At 41.3% G+C, this 23,651-nt stretch overlaps 1 protein-coding gene and 1 long non-coding RNA gene across 8 annotated transcripts in view; one reads left to right on the top strand and one right to left on the bottom strand.

Moving 5' to 3' along the window:
• Positions 1-23,651, top strand: part of MAPKAP1 (MAPK associated protein 1) — a 269,815-nt gene that overhangs the window by 127,016 nt on the left and 119,148 nt on the right. For all 6 annotated transcript variants that reach the window (NM_001006621.2, NM_001006620.2, NM_024117.4 and 3 more), the window contains one exon: positions 20,384-20,560. In NM_001006621.2, coding sequence (NP_001006622.1) covers positions 20,384-20,560 — 177 coding nt within the window. The remainder of the gene's footprint in view (positions 1-20,383; positions 20,561-23,651) is intronic.
• LOC105376272 (uncharacterized) lies at positions 2,580-16,458 on the bottom strand. 2 transcript variants are annotated; one of them, XR_007061777.1, is made up of 4 exons: positions 12,200-16,458; positions 11,344-11,432; positions 8,472-8,612; positions 2,580-7,298 (listed from the first exon to the last, which is right to left on the bottom strand). It is a non-coding gene; the product is annotated as an uncharacterized LOC105376272 (long non-coding RNA). The 2 variants fall into 2 exon arrangements; XR_930349.4 differs by lacking the exon at positions 8,472-8,612 and having other exon boundaries at positions 2,856-7,298.

Genomic DNA, 23,651 nt, shown 5'->3' with positions numbered 1-23,651 from the left:
TATATACCCAGTAATGGGATAGGTGGGTCAAATGGTATTTCTAGTTCTAGATCCTTGAGAAATCGCCACACTGTCTTCCACAATGGTTGAACTAGTTTACGCTCCCATCAACAGTGTAAAAGCATTTCTATTTCTCCATATCCTCTCCAGCACCTGTTGTTTTCATGAATAAAGTCTAGTCTTAACAGTATTGCACCAATGTCAATTTCCCTGGTGTTGATATTGGACTACAATTATATGACATTTTTAAATAGTTGTTCCATATTTCGAATTACATGATTATATTGAGTCTAAACCATGGTCTTTTGAAATTTTTTACAATTCTTAGTGACGTTGGATTTCTCAGGTTTGTTTGGTGTAATACAGTCTATAAAGTGAATCCCTGGGATCTCCTCCTGTCGGGCAGTGTAATGTGAGGTATTTTCTTTCTAGTGTGTTTGTACTTAGTGTTGGAATAGATCCTTATTTGGTCTTTTCCAGTGGGTTGGCCCTGTGAAAGAGCTTTTCATTCACAGAGAGGGAATTGCTGGATGCACATGAAGAGTGGCCCACCAGTTGCAGCCTGGTTGTCAAGAAAACCATTTAAGAATATTGTTCTTGGGCCGGGCACGGTTGCTCACACCTGTAATCCCAGCACTCTGGGAGGCCGAGGTGGGTGGATCACCTGAGGTCAGAAGTTCAACACCAGCCTGGTCAACATGGTGAAACCCCATCTCTACAAAATATACAAAAAATTAGCCGGGGGTGGTGGCAGGCACCTATAATCCCAGCTACTCGGGAGTCCGAGGCAGGAGAATCACTTGAACCTGGGAGACGGAGGTTGCAGTGAGCTGAGATCACGCCATTGCACTCCAGCCTGGGCAACAAGAGCAAAACTTTGTCTCAAAAAAGAAAAAATATTGTTCTCCTGTTCCTGTGCCTTGTAAACTGTCTATGGTAGTAGACTTTGGCCCCAATGAAGGAATGGAGAATTTGGCAGGAATTCTTGGCCTCCTTTACACTTACGTCTGTTAACTCTTGAGCAAGATTGGAATATGGTACTTAGGCTTATTTCCTGCTTATTTTGATGCACTGATTTGGGGGAAAACATTTGGGAGAAACTAACTGAAATAATTTCAATCTCTAAATGGTCAAATTTTAAAATTTAGACTTTGTTATTCTTTATTGAATTTTGATCAGAAAATGTGGACTATGAAATTTTTGCCTAAGAGATTTATGTATATTTGGCTGCTTACTATGCTATAATTTTTTGGTCAATATTCCATGGGTTCTGGAAATAATTATTCTCTATCGGTTATGGACCTCAATATATACTTATTAAGTCAATGTCCTTAATTACTTATTTCTATTATCTTAGGGTTTTTGACTATTTGGTCTATGGATGATTAAGAGAAATGCATTAAAATTTCCATCTTGTGTGTTTCTGTTAACTTTTCCTAATATTTCAATAGTATGCACTTTATATATTTCAGTTCACATAAAGATTCATGTGTTTTGTGTCTTTATTATCAGTTCTACTTCAGTATAAACCGGTCTTATTTGTTCTGTTTATGATTGTGTCTTGCCTGTTTCTTTGCTTCATCAGCAATCTGAGCTTTTTTTCCCCTGCTCTTCTTTGCTCTTTCTTCAGTCTTTTACTTTTGCCTTCTGTTTTAGATATGTTAATAATTTTGTGAGGTTTTTCTTTTTTGACTCATGTAAGTGATTTTCATTTCATAAGAACTATCTTTTTTTATGCTTTTTTTTTCGTATTTATTTATTTTTTATTGATCATTCTTGGGTGTTTCTCGCAGAGGGGGATTTGGCAGGGTCACAGGACAATAGTGGAGGGAAGGTCAGCAGATAAACAAGTGAACAAAGGTCTCTGGTTTTCCTAGGCAGAGGACCCTGCGGCCTTCCGCAGTGTTTGTGTCCCTGGGTACTTGAGATTAGGGAGTGGTGATGACTCCTAACGAGCATGCTGCCTTCAAGCATCTGTTTAACAAAGCACATCTTGCACGCCCTTAATCCATTCAACCCTGAGTGGACACAGCACATGTTTCAGAGAGCACCGGGTTGGGGGTAAGGTCATAGATCAACAGGATCCCAAGGCAGAAGAATTTTTCTTAGTACAGAACAAAATGAAAAGTCTCCCGTGTCTACCTCTTTCTACACAGACACGGCAACCATCCGATTTCTCAATCTTTTCCCCACCTTTCCCCCCTTTCTATTCCACAAAACCGCCATTGTCATCATGGCCTGTTCTCAATGAGCTGTTGGGTACACCTCCCAGACGGGGTGGTGGCCGGGCAGAGGGGCTCCTCACCTCCCAGTAGGGGCGGCCGGGCAGAGGCGCCCCTCAGCTCCCGGACGGGGCGGTTGGCCGGGCCGGGGGCTGACCCCCCATCCTCCCTCCTGGACGGGGCGGCTGGCCCGGCAGAGGGGCTCCTCACTTCCCAGTAGGGGCGGCCAGGCAGAGGCGCCCCTCACCTCCCGGATGGGGCGGCCGGCCGGGTGGGGGGCTGACCCCCCCACCTCCCTCCCGGACCCCCACCTCCCTCCTGGACGGGGCGGCTGGCCGGGCGGGGGGCTGACCCCCCCCACCTCCCTCCCGGACGGGGCGGCTGGCAGGGCGGGGGGCTGACCCCCCCACCTCCCTCCTGGACGGGGCGGCCGGCCAGGCAGAGGGGCTCCTCACTTCCCAGTAGGGGTGGCCTGGCAGAGGTGCCCCTCACCTCCCAGACGGGGCGGCTGGCTGGGCGGGGGGCTGATCCCCCCACCTCCCTCCCGGACGGGGAGGCTGGCCAGGCGGGGGGCTGACCCCCCACCTCCCTCCCGGACGGGGTGGCTGCCGGGCGGAGACGCTCCTCACTTACCAGACGGGGTGGCTGCCGGGCGGAGGGGCTCCTCACTTCTCAGACGGGACGGCTGCTGGGTGGAGGGGCTCCTCACTTCTCAGACGGGGCGGTTGCCAGGCAGAGGGTCTCCTCATTTCTCAGACGGGGCAGCCGGGCAGAGACGCTCCTCACATCCCGGACGGGGCGGCAGGGCAGAGGCGCTCCCCACATCTCAGACGATGGGCGGCCGGGCAGAGACGCTCCTCACTTCCTAGATGGGATGGCGGCCGGGAAGAGGCGCTCCTCACTTCCTAGATGGGATGGCGGCCGGGCAGAGATGCTCCTCACTTTCCAGACTGGGCAGCCAGGCAGAGGGGCTCCTCACATCCCAGACGATGGGCGGCCAGGCAGAGACGCTCCTCACTTCCCAGACGGGGTGGCGGCCCGGCAGAGGCTGCAATCTCGGCACTTTGGGAGGCCAAGGCAGGCGGCTGGGAGGTGGAGGTTGTAACGAGCCGAGATCACGCCACTGCACTCCAGCCTGGGCACCATTGAGCACTGAGTGAACGAGACTCCGTCTGCAATCCCAGCACCTCGGGAGGCCGAGGCTGGCGGATCACTCGCGGTTAGGAGCTGGAGACCAGCCCGGCCAACACAGCGAAACCCCGTCTCCACCAAAAAAATACAAAAACCAGTCAGGTGTGGCGGCGTGCGCCTGCAGTCGCAGGCACTCTGCAGGCTGAGGCAGGAGAATCAGGCAGGGAGGTTGCAGTGAGCTGAGATGGCAGCAGTACAGTCCAGCTTCGGCTGGGCATCAGAGGGAGACCGTGGAAAGAGAGGGAGACCGTGGGGAGAGGGAGAGGGAGACCGTGGGGAGAGGGAGAGGGAGAGGGAGAGCTATGCTTCGTTTTTTTAAAAAAATTTTAATCGACTATTTTTTAGAGCAGTTTTAGGTTTACAGAAAATTTGCACAGAAAATACAGTGAGTTCCCATACATATCCTTCCAATCCCTCATTTTACTCCTGTTACTAATATCTTGCATTAGTGTGGTACATTTGTTAAAGTTGATGAACCAATATTATTAACAAAAGCCAGCAGTTATACATTAGGGTTCACTCTTGTGCAGCTCTAATGGTTGTATCATACAGAATGGCTTCACTGCCCTAAAAATGTCCTGTGCTCCATCTATTCAACCCTACCCACCACTGCTGGCAACCACTGGCCTTTTTTCTGTCTCTGTAGTATTGCATTTTACAGAACGCCATCTAGTTGGAATCATACCATATGTAGCCTTTTCAGACTAGCTTTTTTCACTTAGCAGTATGCATTTAAGCATCCTTTGTGTGATACACTTATTTCTCACTGTTGTTAAGTAATGGACTGCATGGATTTACCACAGTTCATTTATTCATTCATCTATTGAAAGATATCTTGGTTGCTTCTAATTTTTGGGAATTATGAATAAAGGCACTGTAAGTATTCATGTGCAGATTTTTATGTGGATGTAAGTTTTCAGCTCATTTGGGCAAATATGTAGGAGTGTGATTGACAAATTGTATGGTAAGCCTATGATATAAGACACTGCCAAACTGTCTTCCAAAGTGGTCATACCATTTGGCATTCCCACCAGTGAGGAATGAGAGTTGTTGCTCCAAATCCTCACCAGCATTTGGTTTTTATCAGTATTTTCAATTTTAGCTGTTTTAATAGGTGTGTAGTGGTATGTCGTTGTTTTAATTTGTAATTCCCTAATTACATCATGTTGAGCATCTTCATATGCTTATTTGTTACCGTTTGTCTTCTTTGGTGAGCTGTTCTTATCTTTTGCCCATTTTTAATGGCCACTATACATTAGACAGTCCAGTGTGTAACAATACATGGTATAGTCATGCATTGGAGATAACTCTGGATTAGCATCATTTTGATAGGACCTCAGCCATCTAGACTGCTTAGGGAAAGTTGGTGGGTTTTGTAGCTATTTGAGGGCTTATCTCATCAAGCATCACATTTTATTCATTTATTTTAAGACTCTGTTGCTCAGGTTGGAGTGCGGTTGTGCAATTACAGTTCACTGCAGCCTTGAACTCCTGGGCTCAAGTAATCCTCCCACCTTTGCCTCCCAAGTAGCTAGAACTACAGGTGCATGTCCCTACACTTGGCTAATTTTTAAAATTTTTTGTAGTGGCACAAATTTTTTGCAAGAGCTTTGTTGCCTTGGGTGGTCTTGAATTCCTGGCTTAAAGCAATCATCCTGCCTCAGTCTCCCAAAGTACTAGAATCATAGGCCTGAGCCACCATGCCTGGCCAAACTTCATTTGAGTTATTCTTCATAGGAGCTCTCTAAATTGTGTTAACATCTTTCTGTACTTTCTTAATCAGAATATAACATAGTGGCTGAAAGTGTGAGATTCACAGCTACAGGCTGGGTTTTAATTCTGGTGTTAACGCCTACTAGCAGGATGATTTTAAATGAATTACTTAAGCCCCATGTAGTATGATTTTCTCATGTATAAAATGAGGGTGGAAACTATCTAACAGGGTAGTAATGAAAATAAAATGAGAAAATACATAGCAAGTGCTCAATAAATGTTCATTTCTGCTCCTCCTAACTACTGTAACCGCAGCCAGCTACTACCACAACCAATATTAGTAAGTAGTTCAGCAGTAGTAGTGTAATTTAGTCCTTTTTTGATGACTCAAGTAATTTTACTATGCTATGATATTCTGATGCCCTGTGGACTTAGGACAGTATTTGGCAGTGTTTGACCTGACATTATGTATTTCCAGACAACTTCGTTATTTGAACTCTTCAGTATGTTCTTGATAGTCCCCTTTTTTACCATCTGCATGCCCACCTGTGTCTTCTCCCATTTCTGGGTTGCTGCTTCTGCTTTATATTTCTTAGAGTCATCATGAGAACTACTCACCTAAACAGTACAGCTGAAGTGGCCCTTCCTATTCTGACTCCCAGCTGTGCTCCCATATATCCTAAGGCATCACATTCTTTTACTGGCAGCTTTTTAACATCAATACCATAAGTGCTTTTGCTATTTCTGTAGTCAGAAATGCTTTTCTCATTCTTCTCCTCTTGGCATTCTGCTTAATCTCAGAAGCTTAAGTCCTTCATTCCTTCATTTAATAAATGTTTTTGGAGTTTCAGACCCTAAGTATTCAGGATAAAATGGAGAACAAGAGAAATGTGATCACTGCACTAAAAAATGCACAGTTTGTTGGGGAAGAAGAAATTATCAAGGGTAAAAGCACTTTGTAACTGGCTCATTTCACTTATCATTTCTATTCATTCATGCATTCAACAAATATTTATTGAGTGTTTGCTATATACCAGGCATTTTGCTGGGTATACAGTGGTGAGTAGAGCCAGGCATGGTCTCGCTTTCAGGAATTCCACAGTCTATTGAAGGAAGTGGGCAAATAACTAAAATAATTAATTCAGATAGTTAAACTAAATAATGTTTGCTTTAAAACTGAATTAAGTGCTCTGAAGGAAAGGAACACTGTTTATGAGAGCTTTGCCTGGAAGTCAGGGAGAAATTCCCCAAGAAAGTGATACAGGAGGCATTGGGGCAGGGGAGGGTCCCAGCAGATGGAGCAGTGTGGCAGCCACCTTATTGCTGGAGGAAGCATGTTGTGGTCAGGGAACAAAAGAAGGTCAGTGTGACTGGAGCACAAAGAACAGGGAGAACAGAGTGGGATTGTTACAGGACAGGGGTCTTGATCCAGACCCCAAGAGGGTTTTTGGATCTCATGCAAGAAAGAATTCAGGGTGATCCCACAGTGCAAAATGAAAGCAAGTTTGTTAAGAAAGTAAAGAAATGAAAGAATGGCTGTTCCATAGCCAACCCTTTGGGGCTGCTGGTTGCCCATTTTTATGGTTATTTCTTGCTGATATGCTAAACAAGGGGTGGATTATTAATGCCTCCCCTTTTTAGACCATATAGGGTTACTTCCTGATGTTGCCATGGCATTTGTAAACTGTCATGGCACTGGTGGGAGTGTAGCAGTGAGGATGACCAGAGGTCACTCTTGTTGCCATTTTGGTTTGGGTGTGTTTTGGCTGGCTCCTTTACTGCAACCTGTTTTGTCAGTAAGGTTGTTATGACCTTTATTTTGTGCTGACCTGCTATCTCATCCTGTGACTTAGAATGCCTTAACTGTCTGGGAGTGCAGCCTGGTAGGTTTCAGCCTCATTTTACCCAGCTCCTATTTAAGATGGAGTTGCTCTGGTTCACACACCTCTCATGTCCCCCCCCCCCCCCCTTTTATAAGAGAACTCTTTAATCGTAAGAGTTGCAGAGGGATGAAGATCCATCTTCTTTAACTTCTTCAGGCTGAATAGCGATTATGATATTCCTGCCTAACTATGAGGGTTTCTTGCATTCAGAGTAGACAGGAGCTCAGTGAGAAAGCATCAGTATGGTAAGGTCCATTCATAACTCTTGAGTTTTGAGAAAAGGCAATATCTGGAAGATTAATAAGTGTTTAATTTAAGAAAACATTCAGTAAGCTTGTCCTGTATTCCTACACAAAGAGTATAACAGCAGTATATTCCACAAGAGTAAAGCAAAATAAGTAAAGTTATTCCAAGTAAACTAAATTAGAAGGCTTTACATGAACTGGGCAACTGTTGGAACTAAGCCGATATGGGATTGTTAGCTGATTGTAATGTGCCCAGAATTAGAATACTGATCCAGATTTTTACATTACTCATCCCTCTTGTTTCTTCTGACCACAAGTCAGAGATCACTCTTTGGTTCACAGGAATAAGCAGGGTTAGCCTAAATTGCAGAAACAAACTTAAAAACAACTAATGAGGCTAGAATTTAGTAGAAAGTGTACCATAGTTCTTGAAACATAATATTTCATTCTCCAGTTTTTCATTTTTACTAAAGACAAATCATGGTAAGACTGATTTGCTTTATTATACTTGGCCTGATTATTTGTATAAAGTGCAGCAAGAATAATTATTTTTCACATAGCCTCTTTTAAAATTGGCTTTGATGGAACTCTGTTCCATAGAAGGAATCTTAGTTAAGATTTCTTAAAACCAAGCTCAGCCATGGTTTTGTACCCTCAAATACCTATTAGTTGAGTAAATTCCTCTCCTCTTGGGGTCCCAAGATAACTTGGGGCTCCTGGACCTGTTAGAAAGTGACATTCTTTACTTATCACAGGTCAGAAACCTTGTACACACCATTCCAGTTAAAGCCTTGGGAAAATAACTAGTTTCTTCAGTTGTGTTCTGTTATAAAAGAAAACAGATTCTTATTGCACTTATGCAAATAACTATATTGCCATAAATTAAGAATGCTCACAAATAGTTTCCAAATTTTGGAGAAATCAGGTAGAGAGAAACAAATATGCTCCAAATTTTGTTTACAGGAGTATACTTTACTTAATTGGTAAAAGCTGTAAATAGCTCAAATGAAAAGTTTCCTTGACTCTGAAAAACAAAGGATCAGCAGGATATTCTATTTATTTATTTATTTATTTTGAGATAGAGTCTCGCTCCCGTCGAGCAGGCTGGAGTGCAGTGGCGCGATCTTGGCTCACTGCAATCTCTGCCTCCCAGGTTCAAGCGATTCTCCTTCCTCAGCCTCCCGAATAGCTGGGATTACAGGCATGTACCACCATACCTGGCAAATTTTTGTATTTTTTTTTAGTAAAGATGGGGTTTCACCATGCGTTGGCCATGCTCGTCTCAAACTCCTGACCTCAGGTGATCCACCTGCCTCGGCCTCCCAAAGTGCTAGGATTACAGGCATGAGCCACTGCACCTGGCCGGATCAGCAGCATTTAAGCAAAGTTAAAAAGATTACGTTAGTTTGCTATTGGTCCAGTTAATTCAGTTAACTTATGTTCTATTAGATATTCATGAACATTCCAGCTCTTCATAAGAGTTTTAAAAGTTGTTTCCTCTATTCTAATCTTACAATTTCCAAAGTTATTAGAAACCTGCGTTTAAGAACACCTGCTAGAGTTCTCTAGTTAATTATAAACCACCTTCTAAAGAGGATTAAAACAAGACAACAATGGTCTGTAGATGATAAAAAGTTTTAGGACAGCCACTATTAAAGCCACAATTGATAAGGAAATTTGGTTACTTCTGTGGCACACAAAATTTTACATAACAATTATAATGATTAATTACATACACTAAGTTATATTAGAATTATAGGAGTTTCCCATAATTTGGAACATATACCAATAACACATTTATGCACATATAGTCCAAAGAAAGCAAAACACCATTTTACATTTGATAATGTATGATTTTTATACCAAATAAGCCAGATTTCACCTTCATATTAATGTACTATTAATGTTAAATGCAATTTTTAATAAAATCTTTTAGACATATTTACTGAATTTTAATGTTTAACCGTAAGTTAAGATTCTTATAAACCTTTATAACCCTTTACATTTTTTTTTTTTATGAAAGAGCAGATGAGTGCGCTAAGAAAAACCTGTTGTGCTTTTATTCTAAAATTTAATTTGTGGAAAAATTGAATAGTACCCCTTTAACTTTAGCCAATATGTTCACACACTGAATCTCTTAAAGTTACTTTTTATAAACCTTTCACAACTTGTTTAAACCTTTAGATTTTTTTTTCTTACTTAAAACAATCCTTCAATACTTTAGGCAGAAAAAAATTCACATTCCCATGATTTCTTACAATCTTTCACCAAAAACAAATTTTACTTTCTTTACACATTGCATGTAAAATTATTTCAGTAGTTTCAATTGCATATTATAATGTTAACTCTTAGCAACTTTTATTTTTGGTGAAAACTTTGGTAAGTTTGAGATTTTAATTCTACACTAGGTGTGGAGCAGTGTACTGCTCCTAGATACACTAGGACACACCAGGCAGAAGTGCAGATAAGGTCTGACTCTCCAGCATAGCTGGGGGCATGTCTAACTCCACATGTCCCCAGGCCTTACCTAGCTGTAAAGCAGGCAAGTTATACAGTAAGAACCATAGTGGCATTTCATGAAGCGTTTAGCAGATCTAACAACCTTTGAATTGGACAACTTTTCGTGCATAAATTCCCTTTCACAAATTTTTTCATGACTTACCCATACCATTTGAGACTCTTGGACTTTCTAACTTGCCCTAAACCTCCCTCCTTTTAAACAACCAGTTATTTTACTTTAGGACAAGAATTTACCATACAAGATCCTTTCTTATATAAAATGTCTTTCTTTGTAATCTTCTTTGTATAGCTAGGGGGCATGGCTAGTTCCACATGTCCCCAGGCCTTATCTAGCATTTAATGGCTTTAAGGTAGGTAAATTAAACAATTTTTAAAAGTTAAAGAAGCAGTTCATGACCTTAAAGCATTTAGCCAACTTAATATCTGACCTGCATAATTTAGACTAAACATTTTTATCAGTCATTTTTAAAGCTGTTTTCATTTCCCAAAGATTACTAAAGTTACATGAACCAAAAGGCATTACAGTTTTTATTTTACTTTTAAAATATTTAAGTGCTTAATTTTGTTTAAGCCAATTAGAGCTCTTTTATATAAGCATTACACACAACACATATGTAGCTACACAGAAAGACAGAAGAAGATTACTACAGTAGTTGTAAGATTTTTCATTTGCCAGTTTTTAAGTTTCTTAGTTGGATTACTGGCTTTAGGGTGGAGTCCTTGGAAGAACAGGGCCAGGAAAGGGGTCTCTGGTGCCTCCTGTTTTTCCCAAGGAGGCTGTTAGAGCTTGAATATCCACTTTTAATTAAACTGATTTTAACTGTAGCACTCTCTAATAACGTCCTTTTAGAATTTCTTATGCCAAGCAGCTGATATTTCTGGCTTTTGAATTTTACCACAGGTAACCTCCCAGGTATTCAGAGAAAGGAAAATTTAAGATAGTCCGCGGAGGAGAAAAGAATAGACAAGGTCACGCAGATATTAAACCAGAAACGACTTACTTCCTAGGTGGGGAATTGAACCCGGACCGCCACTGTGAAAGTGCAAAAACCTTAGCTACTGAGCGATAGATAGCATGGGGCAGTCTCCATTTCCTTTCCCAGAAGGAGTCTAGAGTAGTTCATTTTGAGCTTGCAAAGGCTTTTAACTATTTAATATGATTTTTAGAGCTAACTATGACATGAACCCTAAAATTCCTGTTCCCTGGAAGGCATTAAACGTGGTTAAAAGGTCAAGCCCCCAAGGGCATAAAACAAGGTGGAGACATCATCCAGTTTTTTTGTTTAAGGGACCTGTATTCAAGTTTGTTACTGACCAACTTGCTGGCTTGTCTGGAAAAGTGGGCTTACAGGTGTTCTAAGCCCGTGTTTTACCCTGAAGTACCCCTCGACACAGAACGACTAATTCATAGCACAAAATACACCAGCTTAAGACTAGCCTTAGAATTCTTTTTCGCATTAATCAAAGCTTTACAGAGGAGATAAACGCTGATTTTTTTTTTAAACCATTCATGGACCCGTTTGCACAGAGAGGAAGAAGCCAGAAATCTGACTGGAAAGAAATTCTTACCCTTTTGTCAGCATGCCAGGCTTCTGGATTCCCTTTCCCTGAGCGGCCCCAGTGATCCAGCTTGCAGCACCATTGCCCTGGGGGCCAAGCTGCATCATAAAGGAAAATTATTTTTTTTCATTCTGGCCAGAGCAAAATACATGTAATAAAACATAGACATTAGCCACTTTGCTTAGCACCCAATATCAAACTGGCAAGGCTTAAATTTGCCCTCAGATGGGCCCCATCATCTTTAATCCAACCTCTGACTTAGAGTTTCAACATGTGGTGGCTGGGCAGGGTGGTTGCCCTGAGTAACAGAAAAGAAAGGAAAGGAAAAGTACAGAAGGAAAGTATTGCCTGTGGCAGGGTGGGGAAGGTGAAGAGCTTAGGAAGGTCAGGTAAAAGACCCACTCAATGCAGCCGACAATGAAAAGTTCAGGCGGCTGCTCGTTGGTTGCAAACGGACCTTTTCTAGCAGTCCCATCAGCTCTCAAGTTTCCCCTTTTAGGAAGGAAAAAACTCCTCATATCCCACGATCCAGTACATGCCTAACCCTGTCATCCACAGTCATCAGCAAAGAGTGCAAGGCGGATTAATCCAAAGAGAATAACAGTTAACATCCCATAGTGCCAAACCTATTCTTATCCAAGGACTTTACCGAGAGGGGCCTTTAACCCCCTAAATCTTAGAAGGGACTTTAACCCTCCTAAGTTGGGCCTCTAACCCAAGGTCAGTCAGGCGTCCTTGCCTTTTATTAAGAGGGGACTCTAACCCACTCTGTCTTAGGAGAGACTCTGACTCCCCTAAGTTGGGCCTCTACCCCAGTCTCATTCTTTACCAATCTCATTCTTTACCCGGGTACCCCATTACTTACCCAAAGTTGTCCAATCAGTGCTCCAGTCTATTTCCTTTGCGTCGGAGGGTCTCCTCAGTATTGTCCCTTTTGTGGTTCGAGAGAAAGATGTTACCAGACCCCACCACTTACCCAAAGTTAGCTTTTGTTGGATCAGGGGTTTCCGAAGTATAGTCACTTCTGTCATTGCCAGAAAGATGTTACAGGACCCCAACATTTACCCAAAGGTAGCCATTGAGTCAGGGTTTTCTCACTATAGTCCCTTCATGATCTCCAGGAAGATGTTACAGGACAGGGGTCCTGATCCAGACTCCAAGAGAGGGTTCTTGGATCTCACGCAAGAAAGAATTCAGGGCAAGTCCACAGTGCAAAGTGAAAGCAAGTTTATTAAGAAAAAAAGGAATAAAAGAATGGCTACTCCACAGACAGAGCAGCCCCGGGAGCTGCTGGTTGCCTATTTTTATAGTTATTTCTTGATGATATGCTAAACAACAGTGGATTATTCATGCCTCCCCTTTTTAGACCATATAGGGTAACTTTCTGATATTGCCATGGCATTTGTAAACTGTCATGGCGCTGGTGGGAGTGTAGCAGTGAGGATGACCAGAGGTCGCTCTTGTTGCCATTTTGGTTTCAGTGGGTTTTAGCTGGCTCCATTACTGCAACCTTTTATCAGCAATGTCTTTATGACCTGTATTTTGTGTTGACCTCCCGTCTCATCCAAATGCCTTAACCATCTGGGAATGCAGCCCAGTAGGTTTCAGCCTCATTTTACCCAGCTCTATTTAAGATGGAGTTGCTCTGACTCACACGCCTTTGACAGAATGAGACCGAGAGGTAGGCAGGGGTCACAGTGGGGATTGAGAGAAGTGGACAGATTCTGGGAGTATTTGAGAAATGGAATTCACAAGGACTTGGGCTGAACTCAATATGGAGAGTGTGGCAGAGGAGAGGCTTCATGACTCACACACCGTGATGCACTGTGGTGCTCTTCACTGAAATAGCTAGCATTGGAACAGCAGGTTTTGTTGGGGCTTGCTGTGTGACTAGGAGGGATAGGGGCGGCATGAGTTTGGTTTTCTGCCTGTTAGTTTGAGGTGGCTTTGCTAGATCTAAACAAAGTGTTCAAGTAGTCACTTGTATTTTCTTGTCTGGAGTTTAGAGGGGAGAGATATGAGCTGGAAATATGAATTTAGGAGTCATCTACGTAAATATTAATTAAAACTTCTAGCATGGATGAATGAAAAGAGAGACAGGCCTAAGACTGGGTGGACATTGAAGAACTGTGTGGATGGCAAGGTCGAAATGGGATATCCTATAGAAATAGGTTTCTCAGTGTGAGTGGAGTTCAGTTTTGGGTGTAATGAAGGCGGAGATTACTTGAGAGACATCCAAGTGAATGAAGAAGTCTTTTTTCTTTTTCTTTTTCTTTTTCTTTTTCTTTTTCTTTTTCAAGACAGTGTCTCACTCTGTTGCCCATGCTGCTGCAGGGGTGCAATCGCAGCTCACGGCAGCCTCATCCTCCCAGGCTCAAGCTATCCTCGCACTTCACCTCCTAAGTAGCTGGGACTACAAGCATGTGCCACCACACCCAGCTAATTTTTGTATTTTTTATAGAGATGGGGTTTCACCATGTTGCCCAGGCTAGTCTCAAACTCCTGGGCTCAAGCAGTCTGCCTGCCTTGACCTCCCAAAGTGCTAGGATTATAGGTGTGAGTCACCACACCCAGCAAGAAGTCTTATAAGTTGTAGTAGGATAGTTTTGAGTCTGGACTGTGTCTGTTTTATGGGCTTGTATTCCTCAGTCCATACACAATGCTTAACACATAGCAAATACTCAATGAATAATTTGTGGAATGGGTGAGAGAACATAGGAACATTTAAAGATCTGGACTGAAATTCTCTACCCTTGCCATGCCAAGGAGGCCCTTCTTCAGGTGTGTGCTAAAATAAGCTTCTGACTGTATATAGAATTTTATTCAGTAAAAATCACCAAGTTAGATTTCTCAACCTGCTGATGTATTTTATTTAAGTGACAGATGTGGAATTATTGCATACATTTTGTTCCGTGACCTAGACAGAAAGAAAACCCATTATCAACATTTCCCAATTGCTAGTCACCACACTGCTAGTTAATGGGTTGGTAGATACACACTGGAGGGCCTACTATGTGTTACACCACATGCTAAGCACTTCAAGTGTATTATTTTATTCCTTACAACATCTCTGTAAGTTATAGATAATAACCTTTTTTTTTTTTTTTTTTTTTTTTTGCAGGAGAGAAACTGAGGATCAGGAAGTTATCTAACTTCCTGAGGTTTTTTTGGACCTCACTTTCCTGAGGGGTTTTGGAGAAAAGGAAATCTTGATCACCTTAAACGCCTTTTCTCTGATTTCAGAGATATCAGCTTCTGAGCTGCAATCCTCATGACCTTTTTTCCCTTGCTAATGCCCAATACACTATTAATATTGATTCTTTCATCAAAATAAACACCAAAGCCCAAGTAATGAGAGTTCTGGACATTTAAAAATCATGTGCTCTTTTATTTTTCATGTAAAAAAAAAACAATAAGCATTCATCTATCTGGTCATCATACTTAAGTGTGTTTTACATTTTCCGAGGATGAGTGAATTTTTATGAGTATGTAAATTGAACATGCCAGATCACATTTGGGAGAAATCTGGGATGCCTCCTGGAATGCTCCTGAATTCTCACATATGGATTAAATGCTATCTATATATGGGCTACAGGCTTCTGTCGCTTTGTGAAAGCTATACTGGCCTTTGAACATAAAATGAATATTGGTTAAACAATTCAATGAAATAAATTTTTTAATGGAAAATTTTAATCTTATCTGATGGAACATGAATAAGTGAAAGTTGTACTCATTAAAGATTTGGAGATATGATTTATGTATCATATATATTCTGCCCTGTACACCCCCACACCCACCTCTCTTTTGGCAGCAGGCTCTATTTTGCATCCATTCGTTGTTCAAACTTCCAATTCTCATGGAGACTTCCTGGTCCCATGAAAGGTACTGCTCTTTTTATGCCAAACCAACTCTAAAATTAAGTCTCTTCCTGTGGATCCAGTTATCCTGTACTTGTTCATTGTTCTTTTGATCATTCGTCTTTCTCTGGTGGTGACTCAGAAACAGGACTTTTAGGTCTCTGCTTCATGCTGTCTGCCATGCTACTGTCTGCCCTGCTACTGTGAGATAGTTAATCCAGCTTCTGCGTAATCAGAAGCTTAAGAGCGGTGCAAGAAATCTTAGCAACATGAGAATCTTTCTTCATGCAGGCACTGTGCAATAAATTCAATCATTCAATCCTTACAAGACCCTTATGCAGTAGATATGGTTACTTCCTTCATAATTCCAGAACTCGGTAGAGAAAATGACCACTTAGGAACAAGGGGACGTGAGTGAGGCTGACAATGCTCAGGGTCTCCAGGACAAGTGATTCTCTGTGTGGTGGGCTAAGAGATTTCCCTGCATTCTTCATACTGCTTCAAATTTCTAAATTGTGCACAATAAAAATGTGCTACCCTCATCAAAAATAAATCTTTTATAAAGAAAGGAAAATAAAAGTTATATGTACTCAGGATATTTGGAAAGTGTATAAAATTAGAAGGAAAAGAGGGCTCGTGACTTAAATGTATGTGTAAACTTAACCCATTTGGTACATTACATTTATTTCTAGTCTTTTCATGTGTGACAATTGAAAATTTTTACATAGTATCATCATTTCTGTTTTTTCTCCATAAAAAGTGAGATGCCAGTATTCATATCTTGATGGACTATAAAAATTCCCCTTTCATCCTCACCTTTGCCTGTGCTGCCTTCTCCTCTAGTCTTGAATTACAATCTTTGACACATGTGCATTGCCTAGAAAGCCCTATTTGGTTAACAGATATCACTGTGAAAAGCAAGAACACAAAAAGAAGGTTATTACTTTCCCTCTTCTCATTAACACATACCTCACTAATAATACCCTTTGCTGGTTGGGCATGGTGGCTCACGCCTATAATCCCAGCACTTTGGGAGGCCAAGGCGGGTGGATCACGAGGTCAGGAGTTCGAGACCAGCCTGGCCAACATGGCGAAACCCTGTCTCTACTAAAAATACAAAAATTAGCCAGGTGTGGTGGCAGGCACCTATAATCCCACTTGGGAGGCTGAGGCAGGAGAATCGCTTGAAACTGGGAGGCAGAGGTTTCAGTGAGCAGAGATCGTGCCATTGCACTCTAGCCTGGGTGACAAGAGCAAGACTCCATCTCAAAAATAATAATAATAATAATAATAATAATACCCTTTGCTTTCTTCATAGAGTGATTGAGTCTACACATTCATATCTTCATTTATTCAACAAATGTTTGTTAAGTACCTTCTAAATGCCAGTCATTTTACTCTTTAGTAAGTATGGAGAGATAATAGAAGAATCCTTGCTCTTTAGAATACAGATGCAGAAATAGGAAAAAGCAATATGATTAGTGATATACAGAAATATTGACCAAATTTTGTAAGACCACAAAGGAGAATTGCTTGAATTTCGGAGATCCAAGCTATTCTCCTAGAGAAATCAAGGAAAGCTGTTTTTCCGATAAGAAAATGGAGCTCAAAGAGATTTGGTCTAAGAATTTGAGTTAGCATTAAAACCAGTTGTGTCTGCAAAATCCCTGTTCTTTCCACCAAGCTGTGTCATGGGAAGTGCCCCTGTTTCCATTGTGTTGTAAACTCTGAGATGTCTGTATCGGGGGGTTTCCTGAGGCAGGGACCAGAGCTGCCCCCTTTCTTTTCTCTCCCCATTTCAAAGTCCACCAGTTTTTTATTTGTTTAAAGAATAATGGACAAGAAGTGGGGACACCAGAGTTTTCAAGACCAGCTTTGCCTCTGTTTAATTGGGTGATCATGAGCATGTTATCCCTCTTTTCTCTGCCTCCATTTCCCATCTGTAAAAGCAAGGAGGTTGAACTAAATCTAACTTTTTATAAGTAATATGTCATGGTTTCCTTCTTCTCATCAAAGTGTGTCATATTTCCATAGGTGATTGGGTTCTCAAGTGCCTCAGGAAGTCTTGACACACTGTGGCTTTGGCAGAGGAATGGGTGGGGGTCAAGAGGGACAGCTCTTGGCTGCCTGGATTTGAATCTCAGCCCTGTCACTTACATGCTGTTTAATCTTGAGCAAGCTACCTAATCCTATTGAGGCTCAGTTATCTAATTTGTAAAATAGAAATATAAATGATTCATTTACAAAGTTGATGTGAAGTTTCAGTGAGCTTATATATCTAAGCCGCTTTGCAGAGTGTCTGGCTTATAGTACTCAATAAATGTAGCTAATGATACTGCTGGTATTGTACTAGTACTAATTTGGAGTCCTGAAGCAGTTTTAGAAGTCAAAATATCACAGTAGCTTCTTTTACTAATGATTCCTTTATAAAAGCACCAAAGGAACCAGTATGTCCATGTGTAGAATATAGAATTTTAGTCATTATCTCCTCAGATTTTCAATTAAGGGGTCAGAGGAGTTGGAGCACTATTTACTGCTAGACTTTACTGATGACCCAGAAGAGGCTTCTATTCATCTTGTATAATATGGCAGGAATCAGTCTTCTTTTCCTTCCTCTGTTCCTGATGCTCAGGACAGGCCACAGCCCAGGGGGGCACTTTACAAATGTGTTTTGAATGAATGATTTCACACTTCATATTTAAGAACTGGGGAGAATAATAGCACTTGGCAGTGAACCTTTTGCATCTCAAATCTTAGCCTGTGATATTTATTGAATTTGTTTTGAGAGGATTTGGGGATGTCCCTTAACAATCAAAGCAGAATTCTTCTGATATCATTGTTGGACTTTTCTGCTTTGATCAATAGGCTTATTATTTGCCCCTGAACCTCTGTGATGCTGGAGAATCAAACATTCCTCAGGTTGATTTACATGGCAATAAATAATCTGTGCTGTCTGTTGCTTGTTCCATCCATGTCTGCCCTGTTCATAAAACCCTGGGGGCTCAGTGACCCAAGGTTCCAAGGTTGGAACACAGTGGACATGTTGACTCCCATTACAGTTGTGTGTACATAGAACATGCTGCTCAGATGCATTGTTGCTTAATATGCATCCACAATTTGTGTTTAAGGATTGGTGCAACTATAAGTTAGTTTCCATATGACTTTCTTATTATAGTTACCTTCCCATTTATTTTTTACTTCTGTTACATGCCAGACACTACATATATTATCTGATCTAATCTTTACAATCTCTGAGGGACGATTATACCCTTTTTATAGAAGTGGAAACTGAAACTCGAGGTGAAGCTTATTCTCTGAAATCACATAGCCATGAGCCATGGAGCTGAAATTTGAACTCGTTCTGACCACAGAGCTCTCTTAGCCAGTATACCATGACATTTTCCTCATCCAAAGTGCTTTCTTTTGCCTCTCTAATTGTTCTGTTTTTAAGTTAGTACCCGGCTGCAGAGATCCAAAAGTTTCCCATGCCATTCAAAGATGAATTTTAAATATCTTAACAGCATTACAAATACCTGAAATGTAAAGTGACAAACATAGCTAGATTACTTTCTTGTTATCAATCCATTTAGCAAATTTACAGTTTCCATTAATTTTAATTTGTCCTTATTACTTGTTTTTTATAATAAATATCTCTTAGTCATGACAGACTCACTGAGTATAGATCGCCTGAAGTAGGCTCCCTCTCTTGCAATAAGCAGAGTTGCAGCTAAAGATTTGTGAATTAATTGGGAAAATTGCAAGTCAGGTAGTCAGTGAAATAATTCATTGTCACATCCAGTCAATAAACTTGGTAAATCAACTCATTTAATTCAAAAAATGATCTATATAGATCAACCAACCAATTAAACAATTAGCATACACTTTGCAATTAATTAATTTAAGCATCAATCATGTAATTAAAACTCCAAACTTAAGCTGCAGAATTTAGAATTCTACTGCCTTGTGAGCTATTGGGTTCCTGCTTCTGAAGCTAGCATAATTCTGAAGCTCGCAGGTTTGCGGTTTGGAGCAATTGAATTGATTGCACTCTTACACTGTCTGTATGTTGGTATAGTTTCCCATCCTCTTTGAACAGATCAACTTTTTACTTCCCCCAAAGAGGGTATGTGTTGATTCTAAACTGGGCAAGACTGCAATCTGGGAGTACTGTCTGGACATTCTAGGGAGTGGGAAGTGTGCAGAAGTAGTCAAGAGGACCAGGTATCTGTGTCAGGACTAATCCAGTCATTTGCTTTTACTCTGCTAAGGATCCATGGTGTTTGAAGTCAGATTCTACCAACTGACTTAGATACTCTTTAGAGAAGGGAGAACTGTATGGATTGTCTTGGTTACCTTGAGTATTTCTCCTGATCTAGAGCACAAATATTTTCTTTTTTAATTTTAATTTTATTTTTTTGAGACAGGGTCTTAACTCTGTTGCCCAGGCTGGAGTGAAGTAACACCATCATAGCTCACTGCAGCCTCGACCTCACGGGCTCAAGTGATCCTCTCACCTCAGCCTCCTGAGTAGCTGGAACTACAGGCGCATACCACCATGTCTGGCTAATTTTTGTATTTTAGCAGAGATGGGGTTTTGCCATGTTGCCTAGCTAGTCTTGAACTCCTGGGATCAAGCGATCTGCCTGCCTCAGCCTCCCAAAGTGCTGGGATTACAGGCATGAGCCACCATGCCTGTCCAGATATTTTCTTAATCCTAACCATAAATCAAAGGCCTCTGACCCCTGCCTTCCCCGAGGCCAGATAATCTTCCCCCCTTTACAGTTTTGTTTGTATCTGTTTTATATATATATTTTTTACATTTGTATTGTAGCTAGTGTAATGCTTATTACTTTTCCTCCCTACTATGCTGTAAGCTGCTTTTAGGGCTGATACTAAATCTCACCTTTGATCTAAGAGGTTAGGTTCTTTGTCGTAGCTGCAATAGGGCTCAGTGAATGTTGCAAGAATAGAGTAGTATAAAGACCTTCATTTCACACTGTTTTTCTCCCCTTTGCATTGCCATGTGTATTCTCTCTATCAAATGAAGTAGGATTTGGGATTTTTTACTGTATCACCAGGCTTGGGGTAAAGAAAAGCAGTCTCCTCAATTTGCTTGCTGTGCACCATACCCTCTGGTCTTCTTGTCCCTTCCCTACCTTGGTATTCACTCGCCTTTTTGGTTTTCCTTTCAGTGACAATGTCAGTGCCTACTGCCTGCATATTGCTGAGGATGATGGGGAGGTGGACACCGATTTCCCCCCGCTGGATTCCAATGAGCCCATTCATAAGTTTGGCTTCAGTACTTTGGCCCTGGTTGAAAAGTACTCATCTCCTGGTCTGACATCCAAAGAGTCACTCTTTGTTCGAATGTGAGTACTGACTCTATTACTTCTCTCGGTATCTCATCCCAACCTTCTAGCATTTTGGATCTGATTTTGGTTTTGTTCATCAAATAAATGATATTTGGCATCTGGAGAGTCCACTGGTAATAACGATGACTCCCAGAGAGATGCTGAGGACGACATTCGCATTGTATTTCATGCCTCTGCACCTAGGCTACGCAGACTGCTTTGCAGTGGCACATTGTGTGAAGCAGATCTCTGAACGGCATGTCCAGAGCCAGGCCTCTGGAAACACTGGTGCACTGGGAGCCTGTGAAGCAAAACTTCTAGGTTTGCACCTTCTCTGCGAGGAATACACACTAACTGAAAATGTGCACTGTGGCCACTTCTCTCTTGTGACTTAAAATAATTTTCTCTCAGACCAAATTTGACCTTCCCTGTCAGTTGCCTGCCTTGAGACTGAGCACATGTCTTCAGCTTTTTTTTTGTGCCTTTCTCAGAAAAGCGTGTGTAAATGCATAAAATAAAATCCACTGGAATATAAAAGTATTCTGTTATTTAAAGTTATCAGATTATTGAACAAATTCATGATATAGTAATATGTGTGGCTTTACTAGTAGATTAAACAATATCCAGCTGTATACCTAACAGTAACTCCTGAAGCCTGTTGTTTCAAAGCGGTGATGAGCATAAATGGTATTTGAGAAATCTGCAACAGCTGTAATGTGCTGTAGTGTTAGCTATGACTTCTGTTCATGACAGAGTCACTGGCACTGTGATTCTGCTGTGATTGTTTGCCTACACTTATAAATCAAGGAAATGCAAAATATTAGAAGTTAGTGAAAATTAAAATGTAGTTTTTATCCATTCAAGTTTATGAGCTCCTGAGTTTTATCCACATGTCCCAGTTGTTAAGGGAAAACCTGCTGCATTTGGATTTTACTCTCAAACCTAAGCTTTTTTTCAACCTAGGCCTCAGCAGTCCTTCTCATGGCTGTCTCCTGGGAACAATAGCGATCCCTTTGGCACCCCCTGCTGTTAGTAACCAGCAAATTCACTGCTCAAAAGGGATTGCTTTAGAAGACATTTCCCTGTCTCTCTCAACATACTGCCTTTGTTTGAGATTGTTACAGAAAATAGGGTTATGCTACATATGATATATGAGTATTTTGGCTCTTTCTACCCTTGAGCAAAGAAAGAATAACTGAGTACCTGGGGGTAAGCTGGGGAGTGGGCCCTCAGGCTTTCATGGTGGCCGTTTCATCCCTACTACAAGGTCAAGTTTGGTGTAAATAACAGCAAATTTTTTCCTGCTTTTTCATTTCAGAGGTACTAAAATAACTTTAAAGGATATTTAAAATAATTGAAAAGTTGGCCAATGATGCCTCCATCTTAACTATTTTTAATCTTGTATAATAATCGTGTGTATATGTTACTCAGTTTCACTTGTAGCACACATATTTTTGTGTTATTTTTACTTGACATTAAATTAGGTCAGGCGCAGTGGCTCACGCCTGTAATCCCAGCACTTTGGGAGACCGAGGCAGGCCAGGATTTGGGAGGCCGAGGAGGGTCAAGAGTTCGAAACCAGCTTGGCCAACATGGTGAAACCCCGTCTCTACTAAAAATACAAAAATTAACCGGATGCAGTGGTGGGCACCTGTAATCCCAGCTACTCGGGAGTCTGAGGCAGGAGAATCGCTGGAACCCGGGAGGCGGAGGTAGCAGTTAGCTGAGATCGCGCCATTGCACTCCAGCCTGGGCGACAAAGTGAGACTCCATCTAAAAATAATAAATTATAAACGTTTCAGTATTTGTTCTTAATTCCTACAGTCTGTATTTATGTGCCAGAGATCTAGGCAGAGACAGCACTACCCTCATGGAGCTTACTATCTAGTAGTGAGACAGTTGTCAAATAATTAAAATGTGATAAGCAGTATAAAAGAAAAGTGTATGGGTTGTAGTGGAAGCCGATCACAGAATATTTAGATTGCTTCCTTGTGTGGTTTTAATAAGTAATTTGATGATGATGGTCATTATCTATATACCTTTTATTCTGTTGAACAACTTCCTTAGGATCATGCCTTGTAAGTAGGATTATTGGTCAGAGTAAAAACATCTTTAGACTCACTTTTTATTGACAATAGCCCTCTGAAAGATGTCCTAATTTACAATGTTACCAACAGAATTCCTAAAATCATTTTTATAGTTTTACCATTACAAGGTATTAGAAGTTTTTTTTTCTACTCTAAAAGATATACACAGTGGCATTTCGATAGTTTTTACTTGCATTTTTATTGATTATTAATATGACTAGAACTTTTTCTACATGAATGTTAACACATGATCATAGCAGTCTTTTGAACCAGAAGTCCTTTTTTAAAGCAAGAGGCTTTAAATCACTGAGTTTTCAGTAGAGTGGAGTGGGGCTAGGATTCATATGCCTTTCCAGGAGGGGCATCTAAGACTACACAGTGTTTCACTATGAACCCTGCCTTCTGGAGAATAGGAAGGAGGGGGAAGGCAGAGAGTAACAACTGCTTTAAACTTAATACTCTGTTTTTTGATCCTGAATTACTCCCATCCCTGTGTTCCCACTCCCAGACACACACATAGCCCAGTCAATCCTTTTTCTATTTTAAAATTCAAGAGAGTTTATTTGATGTGTCTGGAGTGTTTCTGAAAACACGAGGTAAAGTGAAATCTTTATATGTGAGCATTAAGAACAAAAGTGTCAATAAATTTTCTTTTTCTCAGTCGTCTGATGAAATAGTACAGATTACTGACCGTTTGCCCTGTGTGTATTTTCTTGGTTCAGCAACCTCTTACTCGCCTTTCTGGTCTATATTCTAAGTTAGTAAAGCTTCTCCTACAGATGCAGAACAGAGCAGACCTTCAGGAGTCTGTAGGGATGTGTCTAAAGTTTCAGAGAAGGAAATCCCAGCAAAATAAATAAAGCCGTAACTACTCCTCCTCGTCATTTCCCCCCTTTCCTCCTTCCATTTGTCTCCCAGTAGAGGAGGGACAAGAAGTGGCTGGGAAGACACTAAGCTGAAACAGAAAGAGGCAAGTAGGTTTGACATAGGGAGTGAACTAATACTTACTAAGGGCCAACTAT

Source organism: Homo sapiens, chromosome 9 (genome assembly GCF_000001405.40).
Source record: "Homo sapiens chromosome 9, GRCh38.p14 Primary Assembly".
NCBI lineage: Eukaryota > Metazoa > Chordata > Mammalia > Primates > Hominidae > Homo > Homo sapiens.
Note: the sequence above shows the minus strand (reverse complement) of the source record. Positions and strands in the feature narration are given on the sequence as shown.